This window comes from Homo sapiens, chromosome 9, assembly GCF_000001405.40.
Source record: "Homo sapiens chromosome 9, GRCh38.p14 Primary Assembly".
NCBI classification, from domain to species: domain Eukaryota; kingdom Metazoa; phylum Chordata; class Mammalia; order Primates; family Hominidae; genus Homo; species Homo sapiens.
In genome coordinates, this window is record NC_000009.12 from 81,576,250 (window position 1) to 81,594,994 (window position 18,745).

Below are 18,745 nucleotides of genomic sequence, written 5' to 3' on the forward strand. Positions count from 1 at the left end.
AGGAAATGACCACTTACATCAAGAAATTGCTGAAAACTTGACAATTAACAGGAACATATAACAGGTGGAAACTGTGCAAGCCTTAATAGAGCTCACTCATTTCGAGAGATATGAATGTAAGTATAGCCTTTAAATTGCAAGAGATAAATGCCACCTATGCTTTAAGGGGTATTGAAACACATTTTCTTTCTATGGAAAATGGTCTGAACAATCATTGTTCTAGGATAATAAGGGTATCCTCAAGACCAGTAACATACTAGGTAACCCATTTACTGACACCATCAGCATCTTTTTTTTAGAGCTGAGAGAAGCTATCCACAGATTGGACAAACATAAGTTGATCATATCAGGACTCACACAATCGACCATACCCCTACAATCCAGGCATGCTGCAAAGCATTACAAGTTTCTTCAAACATCACCTTTTCCGAAGGTAACATTTGAATTTGGTTATTTCTAGGAAAAGACGCCAGTTCAGAAGGTCCTGGATGTTGAGGCCTGACTTCCCAGTCACCACCCATGCCCTTAAACAAACTAAACAAGAGTTGCTGACTGTGCTAGTTACACTTTGTACAAGCTTTTGTTAAAGTCTACCCATTTATTTACCACTCAAGGCAGGCCCAAGTAGATACCAGCTGGGGAGGTCCAGTGGCCAGCCAAACTGGGCCCAACATGGCAACTTCTCAAGGAAATGCATGACTAGCCTCCATGTTAAATTCTCAAAGTGCAGTACCTGTTAACAACTCTGTGAGGTATACGCTTTTATTCCAATCTTGCAGCTGAAGATTCTAAGAAGGGCTGAGGAAGTCGCTCAAGGATATACAGAAAAGGTAACTACGTATCACACCTGCCATCTGTGCCTGGTCTGGAGTTGATTACAAATGCAGTGTCCTTCTTAACACACTACAGTGCCCATGGCATATTACTCTTACAACTACAGAAGATCCTTTTAAATAATACGAATATAGGAGTAGGTTATAGGTCCCCACTCTTATTAAGGTTTATCATCATTGGGGTTTCTAAATTACCCCTTTGTGGCAAGTAAATGATAACAATGAAAAATAATTATGATCCTGGAAAACTATAGATTCTTAATATTGAAAAACAGAACACACAAGTATATACAACAGAAACTGATCAAGAAAATTAGGCATTCACATTAAGTGTCTAAAAGAAGCTATCAAGAGTCTATGAAAGCTTTTCTAGGAATTGTTAACAGGACAGACATCTATTGTTCTTAAAGATGGTGTTAGCCTATGAACTGACTTCAGGATCCTTTAGAAAATAATGAATGGAAGCTAGAACAAAACTAGATGGAACACAAGATATTTATTGCCTATCATTAGCAAATACTTTCTTAGAGTAAGAATATTAATGAGGTTGACCTGAGAAAAGCAGCTATTGCCGTGCTTTGCTAGGGACAGTATACATAAGCCCAGTATTTCTGGAAAGCAATTTGGCAGTTTATAATATCAAAGATCTGAAATATCTTATCTTTTGATGTGGTAATTCAACTTCTTAGGATTAATCCTAAGGAAAGGAGCAGAAATGAGGAGAGAAAATTATATATGAACATTTTCTTTATAAGGATTATAATATCTTCATGTTTAAAATGGCCTACATACCTAACAAATGAGAAATAGGTAAATTATAATATACCCAACACTGTAAATTTCAAGTGATAAAAAAAAGTGAGAAGCAGGTTATAAAACTTCATGGACAAGAAGGTAGAACGGAATTAAAACTTTGGAGTCTGAACATCTGAGTTAAAATCTGATGCCACAATTCGCTGTGTGATCTCAAGCAAGTTAATCTCTGTGCCTCGGTTCCCTCATCTGTTAAATAAGCATGAACCCAGTAACTACCTCATTGGGCTTTTGTGAAGGTTCAGTGAGATAACACAAAGTGCTTAACTGTCCTTTGGTAAGTAGCAAACACATTGTTAATAATCTGTATTACATTTGGCATGATTGGCACAAAAAAGAGTAGTTTTGGCCGGGCGCAGTGGCTCATGCCTGTAATCCCAGTGCTCTGGGAGGCCGAGGTGGGTGGATCACTTGAGGTCAGGAGTTTGAGATCAGCTTGGCTAACACAGTGAAACCTTGTCTCTACTAAAAATACAAAAATTAGCTGGGTGTGGTGGCATGTGCCTGTAATCTCAGCATTGGAAAGGCTGAGGCACGAGAATCACTTGAACCTGGGAGGTGGAGGTTGCAGTGAGCCTAGATCGTGCCACTGCACTCCAGCCTGGGCAACAGAGTAAGACTGCCTCAAAAAAAAAAAAAAGAACAGTTTCTAGGTGAAACAATTATGGTGGGTTTTAATTTTCTTCTCTGCCATCAGCAGCTTCTTCCCCAACTTCCCTCTTTGGAATAACTCCATCTTAGTCACCAGCCCAGTGACCACCCTGCTTTAGTCAAATGGCTGGTTGACTGAATCTAATATGATAATTTGAAGGACAACACTCTGTCAAGTCAGCAGCTTACTGTTTTACACAGTTAGGTATTCCAATTTTCAAGGAATGATTTCTAACTCTGCATCACCACTCCAGTTAAACACCATGTACATTCTTGTGGCCTCCACATTAGGTCCTTGTGGTATGTTTTCCAAACCTCCACAGACTCACATTGATTTATGTCTAAGAAAGAAGCAACATTTTTAAGAACTCAATTATTGTAGGGCTCTTATAGTACTCTGCTTCAAAAGTTAGTTTTGGGCAGAGACTACTCAAAGAACAGATGTCAAGCAACTTCAAAACAGTAAGCCTTACACTTTATTGCCATCTTCCTTTTAATCTTCAGCCTCAAACTCTCAAATACTTGAGAGGGTTCCAGTCTTTAGGAAATATTAATATACTCTCACAGTTTATTAAATTGATGGCTCTGTTGTAAAGATTATTATGCCAGATCACTAGTTCTCAAAGTGTGGTCCCCAGTCCAGCAGTCTCAGGACCACCTGGGAACTCGCTTTAGAAATGCAAATTCTCGGGTCCCAACATGGCCTACCGAAACAGAAACTCTGAGACTGGGGTCTAGAAATCAGAATTTTAACTAGTGATGCTGATGCAGACAAAAGTTTGACAACTTCTCCAGAAACGTGAACCTGATTAAGAACAAAATATTTAACTGTTTATTAAGTGCTAGTTTAAAATATGAGGCAAAAAAGCTTTGGATATCTGGATAGTAAATTCCCCGGGGCAGAAAATGACCCTTATATGGCTTCATCTTGCTCAGGGAAGCCTGAAATTGTGGTGATCTGATGATGTCACTGCCACATGAAGAGAGGACATCTTTGAGAAGTAAACAATCCACGCACCCGAGCAGAGAGTTTGAAATGTCACCACTCAACTTCCTCGCCATGATGACAGAGGCAGCAGTCTCTTGAGGGAATTAAACAACATGCTGAAATTAAGAATCTGATCCCTTTCTCTGATCTGTTGGCAAATCTGGGAAAAGTCAAAACTATTAGCAGAAGTGTAATTTTAAAAATCCCCATATGGGCTGAGCATGGTGGCTCACTCCTGAAATCCCAGCACTTTGGGAGGCCAAGGCAGGCAAATTACCTTGGTCAGGAGTTCCAGACCAGCCTGGCCAACATGGTGAAACCCCCACCTCTACAAAAAATACAAAAAATAAAATAAAAATAAAAATCCCCATATCAATGTTCTCAGCTTTGGGGCAGCTGCTATTTACCAGTCATATCTTAAAAGAGCCCATCAAAATCCCATCAGCCACCACAAAAATTAGAATTTATGTCAAACCCCTACCCTATCACCTCACAAACAACAGAAACTTAATAAATGGTAATTATATTGATGCAATATTTTGTCCTTATTATATAATAGGTGCTAGAAACATCTAGCTATGAAAAAAGTATTACAAAACCAATCTCACTAGGACTTTGATTTTTCAACCCAATTCCATAGATGAGTTACATGGTAGAAACATACATGCAAGGCATGAGTAAAGACTGTGAGTGATTTAAAACATCAATATTAAATATATATGATTTGTTGGTAAAGAACAAGGAAAACAAATATTTACATAAATTAGGTTATAAATTAGTGAACGCGAACGTATTTATATACCTAATATTACATAAGAGTGCTACTTAAGGGAACTGTGCAAATTATATATTTTTTTGAGACGGAGTATCGCTCTGTCGCACGGGCTGGAGTGCAGTGGCACGATCTTGGCTCACTGCAAGCTCTGCCTCCCGGGTTCCAGGTTCACGCCATTCTCCTGCCTCAGCCTCCCGAGTAGCTGGGACTACAGGCACCCGACACCACGCCCAGCTAATTTTTGCATTTTTAGTAGAGACGGGGTTTCACCGTGTTAGCCAGGATGGTCTCGATCTCCTGACCTCGTGATCCGCCCGCCTCGGCCTCCCAAAGTGCTGGGATTACAGGCGTGAGCCACCGTGCCCGGCCACAAATTATAAATCTTTAAAATGAAATGAAGAGGGAATTTGGAGAACTAGGGGGAAAAACAAAAATCACAGCCCACTTGGCTGGGTGCGGTGGCTCACGCCTGTAATCCCAGCACTTTGGGAGGCCGAGGCGGGCGGATCACGAGGTCAGGAGATCGAGACCATCCTGGCTAACACGGTGAAACCCCATCTCTACTAAAAAAAAAATGCAAAAAATTAGCCGGGCGTGGTGGCGCGCGCCTGTAGTCCCAGCTACCTGGGAGGCTGAGGCAGGAGAATGGCGTGAACCCGGGAGGCAGAGCTTGCAGTGAGCCAAGATCGTGCCACTGCACTCCAGCCTGGGCGACAGAGCAAGACTCCAACTCAAAAAAAAAAAAAAAAAAAAAAATCACAGCCCACTGTATGAAATTTGAAAGAACACAGACAAGGCTCATGGCAGAACCTGCATTTGGTCTGTCCTGTGAGGCCATGGGGACACAGCTTCCCTGACCCTTGGTTATATGAGGATAATGATAACCACCTTCTGACATTTTTATATGCGAGACTGCCACATACCTCTTGGCACATGGTGACCAAAGAATCTGAATTTGTTGAAACTTACTTTGTAACCCATATTCAGGGCAAAAGGTATACAAATATTTGGCTTACTAGATCTCAACAATCACATGATTCCAGTCTCCTGGGGGACAGGAGTGGTGACTCCTACGGTCACAGCTTAGGAAGAAATTGCTCTCCCACTTGCACTTGCATTTGTGAGAATCACTACTCACAACCCTGTTCTCATACCTACCGCCATCCTCCAGACCCTGAAAGGTAGACACAATTTTTACTGTTCCCATTTTCCAAGTGGGAAACACTCAATTGTCTGGGCAATTTCCTAAGACTCTAACCCTTCTGTAGCTGGGCTTGCACTAGTCATCTCCAGGACTCTTGCCACCAACACAGTCAGAGCCTCTTCCAAAATCAAATAGAAGTGGCTTCATCAGATTCAAGATGATCTATGAGTTGATAAAAGTTTCAGAAAAATACCGTTACAGAAAGAATGTCACAAGTTTGGGAACTATAAAGTATGAGGGAAAATGAAGGGAGAAAATCCACTAACAGAAAACGGGAGTATCTCTTTAACCCACACACATGCATCCCCCTTCTCCACGGGCATATGGCTGCAAAGCAAGACATCGCATTTCCAGTCTCCCTTGTGGCCACCATGTGACAAACTCCCTGCCGACGGACTGGCAAATAAAAGTGATGGAACAAATTCTAGTCACCTGCTTAAAAACACATCGCTTTCCCTGGACTTCTGCTCTTTCCCCACTGCTGGCTGGAAGTGGTGGCAACTAGAGAGGCCTTACAAGTGCAGAGCTGCATTGTGGGCCTGGGTCTCCGGGTCACAGGTAGGAGGGAGACAAACTCTAATGGTCTTTAAGCTACTTCATTGTTGGTATTAGAGAAAATAGGGAAGTAAGGCGGGGAGGGAGAGAGAACAGAAAAGATAAACACTCCATTACTCCATTAACAAGCCATCTGAGTCTGTCAGATAGAAACCTACTTCGTTATACAAGGAAGGGATGACAGCATAATCAGCTTTAGTAATGGGGGTTTGCCATTCACTTAATGAGAAGTGAAAATATTTAACTCAGTATATAAACATTTTTTTTTGGCAAAAAGCAAACAAAGTAATGTTTTTGAATATATAAAGAACAAGGTCTTGGTAACAAATGAAAAATATTAAGACAAACTGCCAACAACTCGCTGGATCATAAGAGAACAAGAACATTAAAAATTCCTTAGGTGCTATTTTTAAACAGCCGGGAACACTGCCTTAAATTTATTAGCTATTATTTTATAAAATAATAGAAAATAATGGTGTATAATAGTATATAGTATATAAAAAATAAGCCATGTAGCTTTTTCAGGAGGAAACATGGATGGTAACTTATTAAAAGCCCAGGATTACAGATTTCATCTAATCACATTAGTAAAAGCATGTCCACAAAGATAAAGACCAAAGACTAATGATAGATAATAATGGCTAGAGCTGCAGGGAGGGCCTTAATGAGAAGAATGCGGAGAAGTGATGGGTATGGTTGGCTTAAGTAACTTAATATAATAGACCAAATAAGTATTAATGAAGACAAAACCAGCTGACTTTCCACCTTTTACAGGTTAATGAACTCTGCAGCTTTCTGTGTATCATAGATCATAACACAAAACCCAAGTGAAGCTTGTGAAGAGAGAGAATACAGATTTGAAACTACTGAGGCCAGCATGTAGTGGGTCATGCCTTTAATCCTAGCACTTTAGGAGACCAAGGCGGGAGGATCACTTGAGGCCAGGAGGTCGAGACCAGCCTGGGCAACAAAGTGAGAGTCTGCCTCTACAAAAAATAAAAATTAAAAAAAAAAAAAAAATTAGCCTGGCTATTCAGGAGGCTGAGGTGGGAGGATTGCTTAAGCCCAGGAGTTCAAGGCTGCAGTGAGATGTGATCATGCCATTGCACTCCAACCTGGGTAACAAACAATGTGAACTCAAATCTTTAAACAAAAAAAAAAAAAAAAAAAAAGGAGAGAGAGAGAGAGAACGAAAGAAAGAGAGAAAGGGAAAGAGAAAGGGAAAAGGAAGAGGAGATTGGGCCTTCCTAGAAAAAGGAATATTTTGCCTTCCAATGAATCACCAGAAAAAAGTAGAGCTTTAATCTTTGACCTTGAATCACAATAGTATCATAACAAAAGAACAAATCTTGATGAAGTAATTTTACTTTCCTAAAGAAAACTGTCATTAGTAAACCTTCAATTACTCACAATTCCTAGTCTTGAGCTCCCAGTAACTCAAGCTTGTGAAGGATTAGGTTCTAATGCAATGGGAGCCTACCACCAAATATATTTATAAAATAAGCAGTGCAATTCAAAACTTCCTCTACAAATGTATAATCTTTGCTTATAAAACCCACATTGATGATCCCAAAGCTTTAATAAAAAACAATAAAGAAAGAAAAGGAAAACCACTTATTGGTACTAAAGCCTTTACTGTAATAAACCAAATATATTTACAATTTATACAAATGTTTAACCTTCAACAAAAATACAAAAAAACATTTCACAAGATGCAAAACCAGGAAACAAGTTCATTGGAGACACCACTGCTCTACAAAGGACGGAAAGTGAGGTGAACTGCAAGGAACAGAAAGGTAATCTCACACTTGGGCAAGGCGTGATCCCCAGATCACCCAGAAAGAAAGAATGGGCTGTCATGTGAGTCGGCAGATTCCGTTCCTCAATCCTACAACCCATGGCCCCTCTGTCCGCTTGGCCTTGGTGCTCCATTTGGTCTATGTAGACAGGTGACTTTCTGCTGATGGACTTGTCGCCTCCTCTTTGTAGACTCAAAGTAGTTTTCTGTCAAGGTTTGGAAACAGGTGTTTGTAATTTTTTTTCTCTTTTAAAGTTACAACTTTTCTATTTCTATAAATTCGAAACATTTTGGCCCAATTCAACTATAAACGTTAAACCACATAATGTTTTCAGTAGATGACTTCATAGACTGTAGCCTTCTTGTCCCCCGAGCCAGTGACTATGTACTTATCATCCACAGAGATGTCACAGCTAAGCACTGACGAGGACTCTTTGGACTGGAAGAGAAAACAATGGACATGTGTTTAATGTGGAACAACGGTACTCAGAGGCCCTGCTCCCTCGGAGGCACCTTCACTCCTGGCTTCAGAGGCGACACTGTGGTCAAACTGTGGATCTAGGTGAGGAGTACTTACTCACCTGGAATATGCTGGCTCCATAGGGGGTCCGCCAAGCATTGAGGAGGTTATCTTTTCCAGTACTCACAAACCATTTACCTAGAATTAGCAAAGGAATATCTAGTTTTCACAAGGTTAAAATTCCTACTATACAATTAGCAACTTGGACTTAATCAAACTAAGAACATTTTTAATATATGAACTATCATGCCCTAAGGACTGGTCCATGATATGAACAGAGGTTTTAATCTGGGCTCCTCAGTGATTTATCAGTGATCTTGGGTATAATCTAAGAGGTATCAGCCTCCTTAGTCACTGGATACAGGACTAGTAGCATCATATCCAACACACGGTAACCCTCAAATATAGAAATCAATGAAGAATGTGTTCTATTTTAGTCAGTCTCCTCATGATAAAATGGGATTAAAGATTCCCATCTTTAATGGGAATTAAAGGATTAAACATCCAACTTAAGTAAAATGCCAGTCACATCATATAGCATGAAGAAAAATGCTCAATAAGTGATAGGCACTCATCCACCCATCCATCCATCCATCCATCCATCCATCCATCCATCTATGCATACTGTGAACAGATATCTGCCCATCTGCAGCACACAAGAAGGGTCACCACATGAACTTCTTCCCTCTTCATCCTCACTGTAGAGTAGAGTGTAACTAAGTGTCTGCGTATACCTAAATATCGACTTCTCTAACCCTGGATTCCTCATCATGGCCAGCTCATAATGACTTCCACTGCCCCTGCTCCATTCTTCAATAAATTCCCGCCCACCCCTCTTCAGAGTAGAAACTCATTGTCGTCTCCCAACCCCTCCAAAACAAACTTGTGTCCAAACCGTGTATTAGGCAATCACATTGCCTGCTGACTTTTCTCAAATTAGCAAAACAGACTGAAACAGACATTGCTGTGCTCTGAAGGGCATATTAAAACAATAGAATTATTGCATCCAGCTGCTCGGAGAACATTTTTTCCAGATTATGATCTCTACCATATTTTTTTAAGAAGCATTTTCCATTTGGGCCATCAACGGCCTCCAGTTTCCTTTCGGCTGAACTCACCACAGTAAGCAAATTTCAGGGACAGCACGCAGCTCTCATGCAGGTGCAGCTGGTACTTGTCAGGCTTGTTCACGTGCAGCACCTCCACATTGCTGCTCTCCATGCCCACTGCCAGCCACTCCCCGGTGGGGCAGTACCCCAGGGAGAAGATCTACAAGGAGCAAGACAGGCTCACTCATTATTCCGCCTGATACACTTAGGAAGGGAAGACGCAATGTGAAAAGTGGGGAAATAGCAAGAATGGGGGGAAGTAATCAGCCAAGTCCAGACTGTGGGGAGGTCCACAGGGCAAGTGATCTAACGCAGATGAACCAAGTGTCAAAACCTTTAGGAAACTGGAAACATTTGAACCCCTCTGTCTTTTGGGATAAAATTAAGAAATGATTCCTAATAATAATGGCATTCATCTGTACATTTTAAAGGAGGCTTTACCTTTTAGAGACACTAACTGAAATACGATCATATATCACCTATCAAGGGGGATACATTCTGAGAAATGTGTCGTTAGGTGACTTTTTTTTTTTTTTTTTTGAGACGGAGTCTTGCTCTGTCGCCCAGGCTGGAGTGAAGCGGCGTTATCTCGGCTCACTGCAAGCTCCGCCTCTTGGGTTCACGCCATTCTCCTGCCTCAGCCTCCCAAGTAGCTGGGACTACAGGCGCCCACCACCACGCCCGGCTAATTTTTTGTATTTTTAGTAAAGACGGGGTTTCACCGTGCCAGCCAGGATGGTCTCGATCTCCTGACTTTGTGATCCACCCGCCTCGGCCTCCCAAAGTGCTGGGATTACAGGCGTGAGCCTCCGTGCCTGGCCTTGTTAGGTGACTTTATTGTGTGAACTTCAGAGAGTGCACTTACACACACCTAGAGAGTGGAGCCTATCGCTTGTAGGCTACAACCCTGCACAGCATGTTACTGTACTGAATACTGTAGGCAACTGTAGCATAACGGGAAGTATTTGTACATCCAGATACATCTAAACATTGAAAAGGTACAGTAAAAATATAGTATTATAATCTTAAGGGACCACTGTCACATATGCGGTCTGTCCTTGGCTAAAAGGTTATATGGTGCATGGCTGTGCTTATGGATACAATGATATGCTGCTAGAGTTTATTTTAAAATAATCCAGTGTCTGGGGGTGGGAACGAGAGTTATCATATGGCCAAATAACTTCAAGCTGAGCGATGGGCATGTGGCATTTATTGTACAATTCTCTGTGCTTTCATAAATGCTTGGACATTTGCTGTACTCATATGTATTTGAGAATTTCTCTAAGAAGTTTTAAAAAAAGGCAGAACAAAAATTGTATCCTGCTTATGTTGGGAAAGAGTGAAAACAGCAAGACTCTAAGAAACTCAACAAAATGTTAACAGGAATATGAAATTTAGAAGTATATATGCTTGTTTTCTGTTTCTGTCCTAGTTTTCTGAGTAGAATTATTTTTATTACAAAACAAGGTAAAAAATAAATGCCAAGTCATGATCGAAAGAACAATTCTACCACCAGAAAGCATTTAAAATGGCAAACACTGTTTTTTCCAAAACAAGTCTACATTCAGACATTGGACATCAAAATACTTTTCACAATCTACAAAGTTGCCATTTATACATTATTTCAAAAGTCTGCAAATCTAGTCAGCCACCAGTTCATTTTTTAAAGGATGAGGAATAAAATGGGTATCACTGAGGTATCTGTGCATTTTTTTGAGCTCTCTGGTGCGGGGTAAATAAATGAACTTTCAGAGGAGCTGTGACTTTTCTCTACTCTTAGTGACATTCTGCAGATTTCTCAAGTTCTATTTATTTAGGAATCAAAAAATCATCTCCTACTCCTGCATTAGATGGTGAGAATATGTGCCACAGATCAAACACTGCTGAAGGAAAACTATACATTCTTCAATGTACAAATCCCTTAAACAAACTCATATGTAAATATAACAGAGAACACACCTTAACCTACAGGATTCTAAAAACCACTCTAGTTTTGGGGAAGGTAGGGGGAGGGTCGTGAAGGAGGAGGTGGTGGTCATTGTTTTTAAATTAGTTATCTCAAATTCAGCCCTGATCTGTTTGTCCAGCCACTACCATCCTAGGGTAAAGGAGGGAGGGTTGTGAGGAGGAAGACACACCCCAGCCACCTCCCAGACTCCAGGGCAGGCGGAAGCCACTCAGTCACCTGGGAGGTGAAGTCGTGCTGCTGCAGCTGCCGCCCCTCGCGCAGGTCCCAGGACCTGACTGTGTTGTCCAAACCACCCGTCCAGAGCTTGGTGCCATCATTAGAAATGTCAATACAGCTGGCTCCGTCTGTGTGGCCCTGGAATTGCCTGATAAAACAAACCAGATTGAATAATGATTTCCTGCCAGAGCTCAAGGTAAACACTGTTGTGTTGTTAGTTTTGGACCGTGTGTGTGTGTGTGTGTGTGTGTGTGTGTGTGTGTGTGATCCCGCCAGTGTCTGCTGATGTGCAAGATCAAACTAACCTTCCCCTGAGGAGGAGGGGAAACAGCACCTGCGATTGTCTTTCCCTGTTTTCCACGATCCAAGTGCTAAAGAAATGGAATGCCACTGCAGGTCACTACCCAGAACTTAAATATGCTACTCTGACAAAACCGTCTGGAAGGTAAAATTCTTTCCAGGTCTGGAAAAGTGTTTAATTGTTAAATAGAAAATAAAAGACAAACACACAAAATCCCGATTGTATTCCTTATGGGAAGATAAAGGTCTGTTCTTTAATCGTGCAGGCCTGAGTCCGTGAGAGAAAGAAATGGGGACGTTACAAGCACAGGGTGTACAGAAGCATTCCTGTTTCCATGAGTGAATCAACACAGCAATGCCCTACGTGCCAACAGAGCATGAGCTCATGTATTTACTCAACCTTGCTTTCTGTGTTAGAAAGAGCCCTGCATTAGGAAATCTGGACTCCCAGAGACAAAGGGTCACGCATGCCGGCCTCCTGACCTCAGAGGCATTGGGCAGAGACACAGGTAATTGCTGAGGCAGACCCACGGGCACCTCAGCAAGACTCTGCCTCCAAGCGGAGCACAAGGTTGTTCTTTAAAGAACCTTGTGCTTCATTCAAAAATCGCCATCAGAAACGATCAGCCAACAGGGATCTGCTGAGCACAGATGCTGTGCAAGGCAACTAGCAGAGCTGCTGAGGGGAGGTCAGTGTAAGCCCCAGCAGGGACGGTGACTGGTGGACTCAGTTCTGCATGCTGAGAGGAAGGTGGTGGGGGAGGCAGCCAGAAAAGGCGAGCAAAGTCTAGACCCACCCTCAGAAGCAGGCGGGATCCAGTAAAGAACTGCGTGGGAATTTCAACACTGAGAAGAAAGTTACCATGCTGCTTCTTCCTCCAGGATCCCCACACCTTATCATTCCTGTAGAGCTCCAAACTTTTAACCTGAGCTTGGATTTTAAAGAGTGCAAGGGAAGGAAAAAGCACCACTACTGCCCTAAATTCTAAGCCAAGACGTGAACCATCACTTTTAAAATCTTCTCTCTGCAAGCCATCCCCAACTTCTGCACTTTAGGATCCAGGTTGAGTCCTCTCTCCTGCGGCCGTGCAGCTGGACCTCCAATGTTTCCGCTTGCTTCCCAGACATCCCCACAGAACACCCAGGCCTGGAGCAGTCCCTGCTTCACTTGGTGAAAGTGTTGCTTTCCTTCCCTTCAAACAGCTCTGGAAATCCAGTGACCCTCTGACTTCTTTTGACCTTTCTAACTCATGAAACGCTGTTCCTCCTTGACTGAAAACACCTTCCTCTGCTGACATACAGTACCTGGCAGCTGCTCCCCCATCCCTCTGCCCTCTCTCCGTCCATATACTATACTCCAGCATTACTCTCAGGCACATCCTATGACTGTTCAGAACGTGCTGGGTTACAGTGGATACAAAGACATTCAATAGGCTTTACATGGCCCTATTACATGCAGCAGCCACTAGCCACCTGTGAGTGGTCCAGAGAAAGATTTGTAAGACGCTACCCCATTCTATCCAACAGGTATTTACTCCCCAGGAGCCGGCACGGAGCAAGGGTTCAGAGTACAGACGAGAGCAGAATGCCTGGGCCTCAACTTGGCTCCACCACATCTGACTGTGTGACCTGAAGCCAGTAACTTACCCTCTCTGAGCCTCAGGCACTTCCTCTATAAAATGGGGCAAATAGCAGGACAGACGTTATGAGAACTAAGTGGAGGAATATTTGAAAAGTGCTTAGAATTGATATTTTGAAAGTGCTACTTATGGAGTTTTAAAAAAAGAAAAAAACAAGTAACTTTTGCTAGGATAAAAGGTGGAGAGGGCGTTCGGCCCTGGCTCCATCATTCCATTTTGCTCACCTACACTACCCAGCAAACAGAAGAGGAAAGTAACTGCCGCACTGTCACCCACACGCAGGGACCGGGCCCGGCTCAATGACACTTCATGGATTTCTACAGCGGAGGTTTGAAGAGAGTGAGCTGTCATGATGACTTCTGGAGCCCGTCCCTTCTCTGTGCAGCATGAGAGGGGACTTACCAAACAAGCCACAGACCCCAAACTGCACCATCCGCAGGGACGGCTTCCCAGCAAAGATGAAACAAGAGTAAAACATGTACTCATTTTACCTTTCATGTTTCATTCATGCTTACTTTAAAAAGACTTTTTGAGAACAGCTCTGGTGTGAGCACTGACTTCTGAAGGGAGCATTTGGCGGGGGAGCTGAGGAGAGACACATGGGTACCAGAACTGCAGCTGCTGCTAAGGTGACAGGGCTGATGCCAGAAGGCCAGGCAGAGCCCTGCGGGCTCCTGGGTGGAACCACCCCTGGGCAGGTCTATTTCATTATTGAGATACTTTAAAATCATTTTGTAGGCAAAATTCACAGAATCTCCTCTTCTCATGTCCCTTTGTTGATTTTCTGTTATCTTTTATCAGTTGGCTCTTGTCTGCACCAAGTTCTAGCCAAAGCCCAAAACATCTAGTATCAAGGGCCTTTTGTGCTGCCGTGTAATCCACATTAGGCCACCCCTTGGCAAAAGCCAGAAATATTTTTAGAACAAGTTTGGAGTCTGTATGTGGGCTGAAGAATTGGCACATTAAGGAGATAGAAAGTCTCGGGTGACACCAGGCATAGTAATAAGACTGTAAGCCCCCCAAAGGCAGCAACACAGTTGTCTTTGTTCCCTCATCACCTAGCCCCATGCCTGGCATTCAAGAGGCTCTTATTGTGTGGGCTGCAGGCAGCCAGAGAGAAGCAGAGGTGATAGGCCCAGCTGCTAAAGAAGCGAACCCCTCCTTAGACGACCATCTTTGCTCACCTCACTAGTGTCTGGTTGTGCAGATCCCACACAGCGATGTTGCCGTCGCTGCAGCATGAGAAGCAGACCTTGGAATCGGGGCTGATGGCCAGGGCGTAGCAGGCGGGGGCCGAGGACGTCAGCTCCGCCTTGATGCGCGGGGTTGGAGCCGCCAGGTCCCAAATGGACAAAGTACTGGCTTCCCCTCCCACTATGAGAGTGCAGCCATCGGGTAGCAATTTACAGGAACGGATATAATTGTCTCTGTTCTGTAGAATAAACATAATTCATTGCTATAATGAATTACCGAGCAATCATAGCACCATGTTCTCTAATGGCTGTCTTGGTTTTTTGAGTTAAGAGTGGTGTTTCATGGACACTCTAACAGAGCAAGAGTTCTCTAGTCAAGATTGGGGTCCAAGTACAACTGTCTCCTTCAAAATAGTAAACAAAACAAATTCACAGGAGCTTAGGTAACTGCTTCTGGTGTCCTGCATCACAGAGCTGAAACTATCTAGGTATGAGGTACAGGTGTACACATAGTTCCCTGAGAAGAAACCACTTTTCCAAGCTAGTTTATAAATCTACCTCATCACCCTGCATTATTTACCACTTGGAAACTGCAGGCCCATCCTCTATGTTTCGGTCTTCGTTATGCTGAGCACATTACCTCATTAGTCAGAAGGATTCTTGCTAAGAATTTACCAGAGCTGCTTTCTCAAGTTGTCATGTGGCTGCTGTTACACTTAAGCCCCTCAATGCAAAGGCCAAAGAACCTGATAAAAGCAGGCATCTTTCCATCAAAACCGACACATATGAAGGGGCTGTGGGTGGGGGGCCCTCATATGATCAACTCCTGAAAGATGCAGATATGGCTAAAGTTTGCTTACATGCTTTTAACGATGGATTATCTTTCAAAGATTAAAGAAACTTTAAGCACATGACTTCAACAAAGGATACTCCTACTGCTATAGAATATTGGGCCATATTTAAATAAGAATTTCATGAATGAAGACATTTTGAAGTTATTTGGTTTTTTTAAAAAATGCACTAATAACTACTCTAAAAAAAGTCTGTGTTTCCAAAACACCGCCACTCTGCTTTTTGGAAACACCTTCTCTGGAATCCTTACAATTTTCCAGGCAGGCAGTGGGTACGTGGCACCATCTGCAACAGCAGAGTGCAGGCAGACACCACACCAGGGCAGGGCAGGGCAGGGCAGCTCGGAGTCTGCTTAAGGCCAGTGGTATGTGCTCTGTAAATCCTGGGGTTATGGTTTAGAAATCGGAACATGGCCGGGCGCGGTGGCTCACGCCTATAATCCCAGCACTTTGGAAGGCCAAGGCGGGCGGATCACAAGGTCAGGAGATCGAGACCATTCTGGCTAACATGGTGAAACCCCGTCTCTACTAAAAATACAAAAAATTAGCCGGGCGTGGTGGTGGGCGCCCGTAGTCCCAGCTACTTGGGAGGCTGAGGCAGGAGAACGGCGTAAACCCCGGAGGCGGAGCCTGCAGTGAGCCGAGATCCGGCCACTGCACTCCAGCCTGGGCGACAGAGCAAGACTCCGTCTCAAAGAAAAAAGAAAAAAGAGATCCGAACATGTCCCAACATGTTTTATGTCCCTGAAAAATGCTAAATGGTATTCTCAGGCTCTGAGCGGACGTGGCTTAGGTACTCTGGGAAAGCATTCTCACTGCTCTCTTTCGTTGATGGCTGCCCCGGGTCTTTGCAGTGACAGCCTTTAACCCTTTCCTGAAGTTAAGGCCATAAAACCTAACCAGCTCTCTCAGGTCTCCCTTAAAAACACAGACCCTGTTCAGAATGGTTTTTATGCCATGTTATCAAATATTTACTATTCTATATTTATCTAAAGGCTGTAGGTCAATTAAAAAACGAGTGGATGGCAGGGATCAGAGTCCAGGCCCAGTTGTGCTTTTGTCCATTAAATGGGAAACTCTCTTTTGTAATACACATCCATACATGAGGAGAGCCTCTGTAAACCACTGTAAAATATTTTTTAAAAAGAAATCCATCAACTCTGGGATTTAGCCAGTACAACAGCAACAAATGAAACCTTCGCATTTAAATGGGGAGCCGAGGGGGTTAAATAACCAACACAGGAAACAGAAGGGGCTTCTATTTCCTCATAATGGGAATAAAACCCAGGCCCACACAGCTATTTCCTTATTGAATCTCCAGGGAGAAATTGCCCTTGTGCACCAGTTCCTGTTCACTCACCAGACAGTCGAGCTGGGAGACAGGGCTCTTATTGCCAGGGTGGCTGATGTCCCAGACCTTGACGCAGCCCTTCCCGCCTGTGTACACGTGTCTCGTGGGGTTGCTGATGGTCACAGCGCACACCACCTCCCCGTGGTTGAGGGTGTTGATCTGGCGAGCATGCCGGGGGATTCCGGGTCCGATGAGGGCGTCGGGGGGAAAAGGGACAGGCTGCATCTGACCGTCTGCAGTAACGTGGAAGGAGTATGCACTTTTGGAAAAACGATTGGAGAGAAGACAGAAAACACATTTACAGAGGAAGCAATCCCTATCTCGGCAATGTGCTACGACTATGAAAAAGATGAAAAAAAGGAAAGATTCTCTTGTATAGTTTCCTTTGAAATCAATACAAATTGAAGCATTTACTGCTGGTGCAAATTTAAAATAATTAATAGCAGAAATCTAGCGTGTACCAAATGACATATATATTGAACTGTATGTAAAATTTTTTAAGGGTTTTAAATTGTTCTTACCCATTCTGTAAAGCATTCCCTCAAATCTCATTATAAAACACTTAATGTACTTCCAAATGAACATAAAATACCTCCTTCCATGTATCTTGTGTAATTGTATGATTTCTTAGTATAATTTTAAATGATTGTTTTCCCTGCTAAAGATGAAGCCCTTAAGAACTAATAATAATTAAACAGAGTAGATATATTTCAACAGCAAAAACAACCTCCAAAAAAACAGCTTTCTAAAAATACCAGTTTATGGTATGGACTTCAACTTTCTCTTGCTTAAGGAAGAGAAAATAAGAGATTATCTTATATGGCTGTAAACAGAGATTTTAGGTTTCCTACTCAACAATCTTCCTTGCCTACCTTGGTCAGGAACGCCATTATATAAAACAGCAAAGTGTGCAGCTAAAAAACTACTCTTCCCCGGTCTCCTTTAGCCCAGCCTGCCTATGTTCTGACCAATGAGGTGTAAGAAGAAGCTGTTGGATGGCATTTTGAGGAAGCTCTGAACTTGAAAGAGGGGAGAGGGATGGGGGATATGGGAACTCTCTGTAACTTTCCACTCTATTTTGCCAAGAACCTATAACTGCTCTAAAAAAATAAATAGGGAGAGAGCATACTTGCCCTCTTCTCTTCTTCCTTCCCACTGCCTGAGCTAAGAGCAAGATGACTGGTGCTCCTACGGCCCCTCTGGGCCACAAGTTGATTTCAAAGACAGAAATCAATTGCTGGATAGCAAAGACTTGGAACCAACCCAAATGCCCATCAATGACAGAATGGATAAAGAAAATGTGGCACATATACACCATGGAATACTATGCAGCCATAAAAAAAAGGATGAGTTCATGTCCCTTGCAGGGACATGGATGAAACTGGAAACCATCATTCCCAGCAAACTAACACAGGAACAGAAAACCAAACCCTGCATGTTCTCACTCATAAATGGGAGTTGGACAATGAGAACAATGAGATCGCGCCACTGCACTCCAGCCTAGGCGACAAGAGCAAGACTACGTCTTAAAAAAAAAAAAAATTATGCACATTCTACTTTGAAGACCACTACTTCCACTTTCTTAACTTGAAATCACTAAGAGAGCTAGAAGTTCAAACCATAAACAATAAGTGAAGTATGCACTGCTTCCTCCTTCCCATTACCCTCGAGAAAGTCTGGGCCCTTTCTGGAGCTTGTCATTGGCAGCTTTAAATATAATGTAAACACCATGAGTACTAACACAGAGCTTAAATTTTCATTTTAATACAAACTCAAATTTTGTAAAGTAACTTAGCAAGCACAAAACTGAAAACCGATTATGCCAGGTCTCTAGCACCCTGCACTTAAAACCCACATACATTTGCTTGAAAATAAAATGCATGCTATTATCTTCCCTCCATAAAAGCAAAATATCAGACACATGAAGACTTTTAAACTTCCCCTCCACTCAATCACAGGACATAATCTCAATCTGTTAT

At 42.8% G+C, this 18,745-nt stretch overlaps 1 protein-coding gene and 1 long non-coding RNA gene across 25 annotated transcripts in view, besides 1 other annotated feature; one reads left to right on the forward strand and one right to left on the reverse strand.

Annotated features, from left to right (window-relative positions):
- Window positions 1-7,433: 7,433 nt before the first annotated feature.
- TLE1 (TLE family member 1, transcriptional corepressor) overlaps window positions 7,434-18,745 on the reverse strand; it is a 105,865-nt gene continuing 94,553 nt past the window's right edge. For all 23 annotated transcript variants that reach the window (XM_006717259.5, XM_047423817.1, XM_005252163.3 and 20 more), the window contains 6 exons: window positions 16,776-17,025; window positions 14,556-14,803; window positions 11,432-11,579; window positions 9,256-9,406; window positions 8,199-8,275; window positions 7,434-8,056 (listed from right to left, as the gene is read on the reverse strand). In XM_006717259.5, coding sequence (XP_006717322.1) covers window positions 7,949-8,056; window positions 8,199-8,275; window positions 9,256-9,406; window positions 11,432-11,579; window positions 14,556-14,803; window positions 16,776-17,025 — 982 coding nt within the window. In that variant the 3' untranslated portion in view covers window positions 7,434-7,948. The remainder of the gene's footprint in view (window positions 8,057-8,198; window positions 8,276-9,255; window positions 9,407-11,431; window positions 11,580-14,555; window positions 14,804-16,775; window positions 17,026-18,745) is intronic.
- LOC105376106 (uncharacterized) lies at window positions 11,426-13,861 on the forward strand. 2 transcript variants are annotated; one of them, XR_929992.3, is made up of 2 exons: window positions 11,426-11,627; window positions 13,259-13,861. It is a non-coding gene; the product is annotated as an uncharacterized LOC105376106 (long non-coding RNA). The 2 variants fall into 2 exon arrangements; XR_929993.3 differs by having other exon boundaries at window positions 13,654-13,861.
- Window positions 16,083-17,282: an enhancer, noted in NCBI's record as "MED14-independent group 3 enhancer chr9:84207247-84208446 (GRCh37/hg19 assembly coordinates)". NCBI's record gives its function as "activates an origin of replication core promoter dependent on BRD2, BRD4, P300/CBP and CDK7 cofactors, and independent of MED14, by STARR-seq in HCT116 cells {active_cell/tissue: HCT116}" and the evidence as "EXISTENCE:reporter gene assay evidence [ECO:0000049][PMID:35650434]".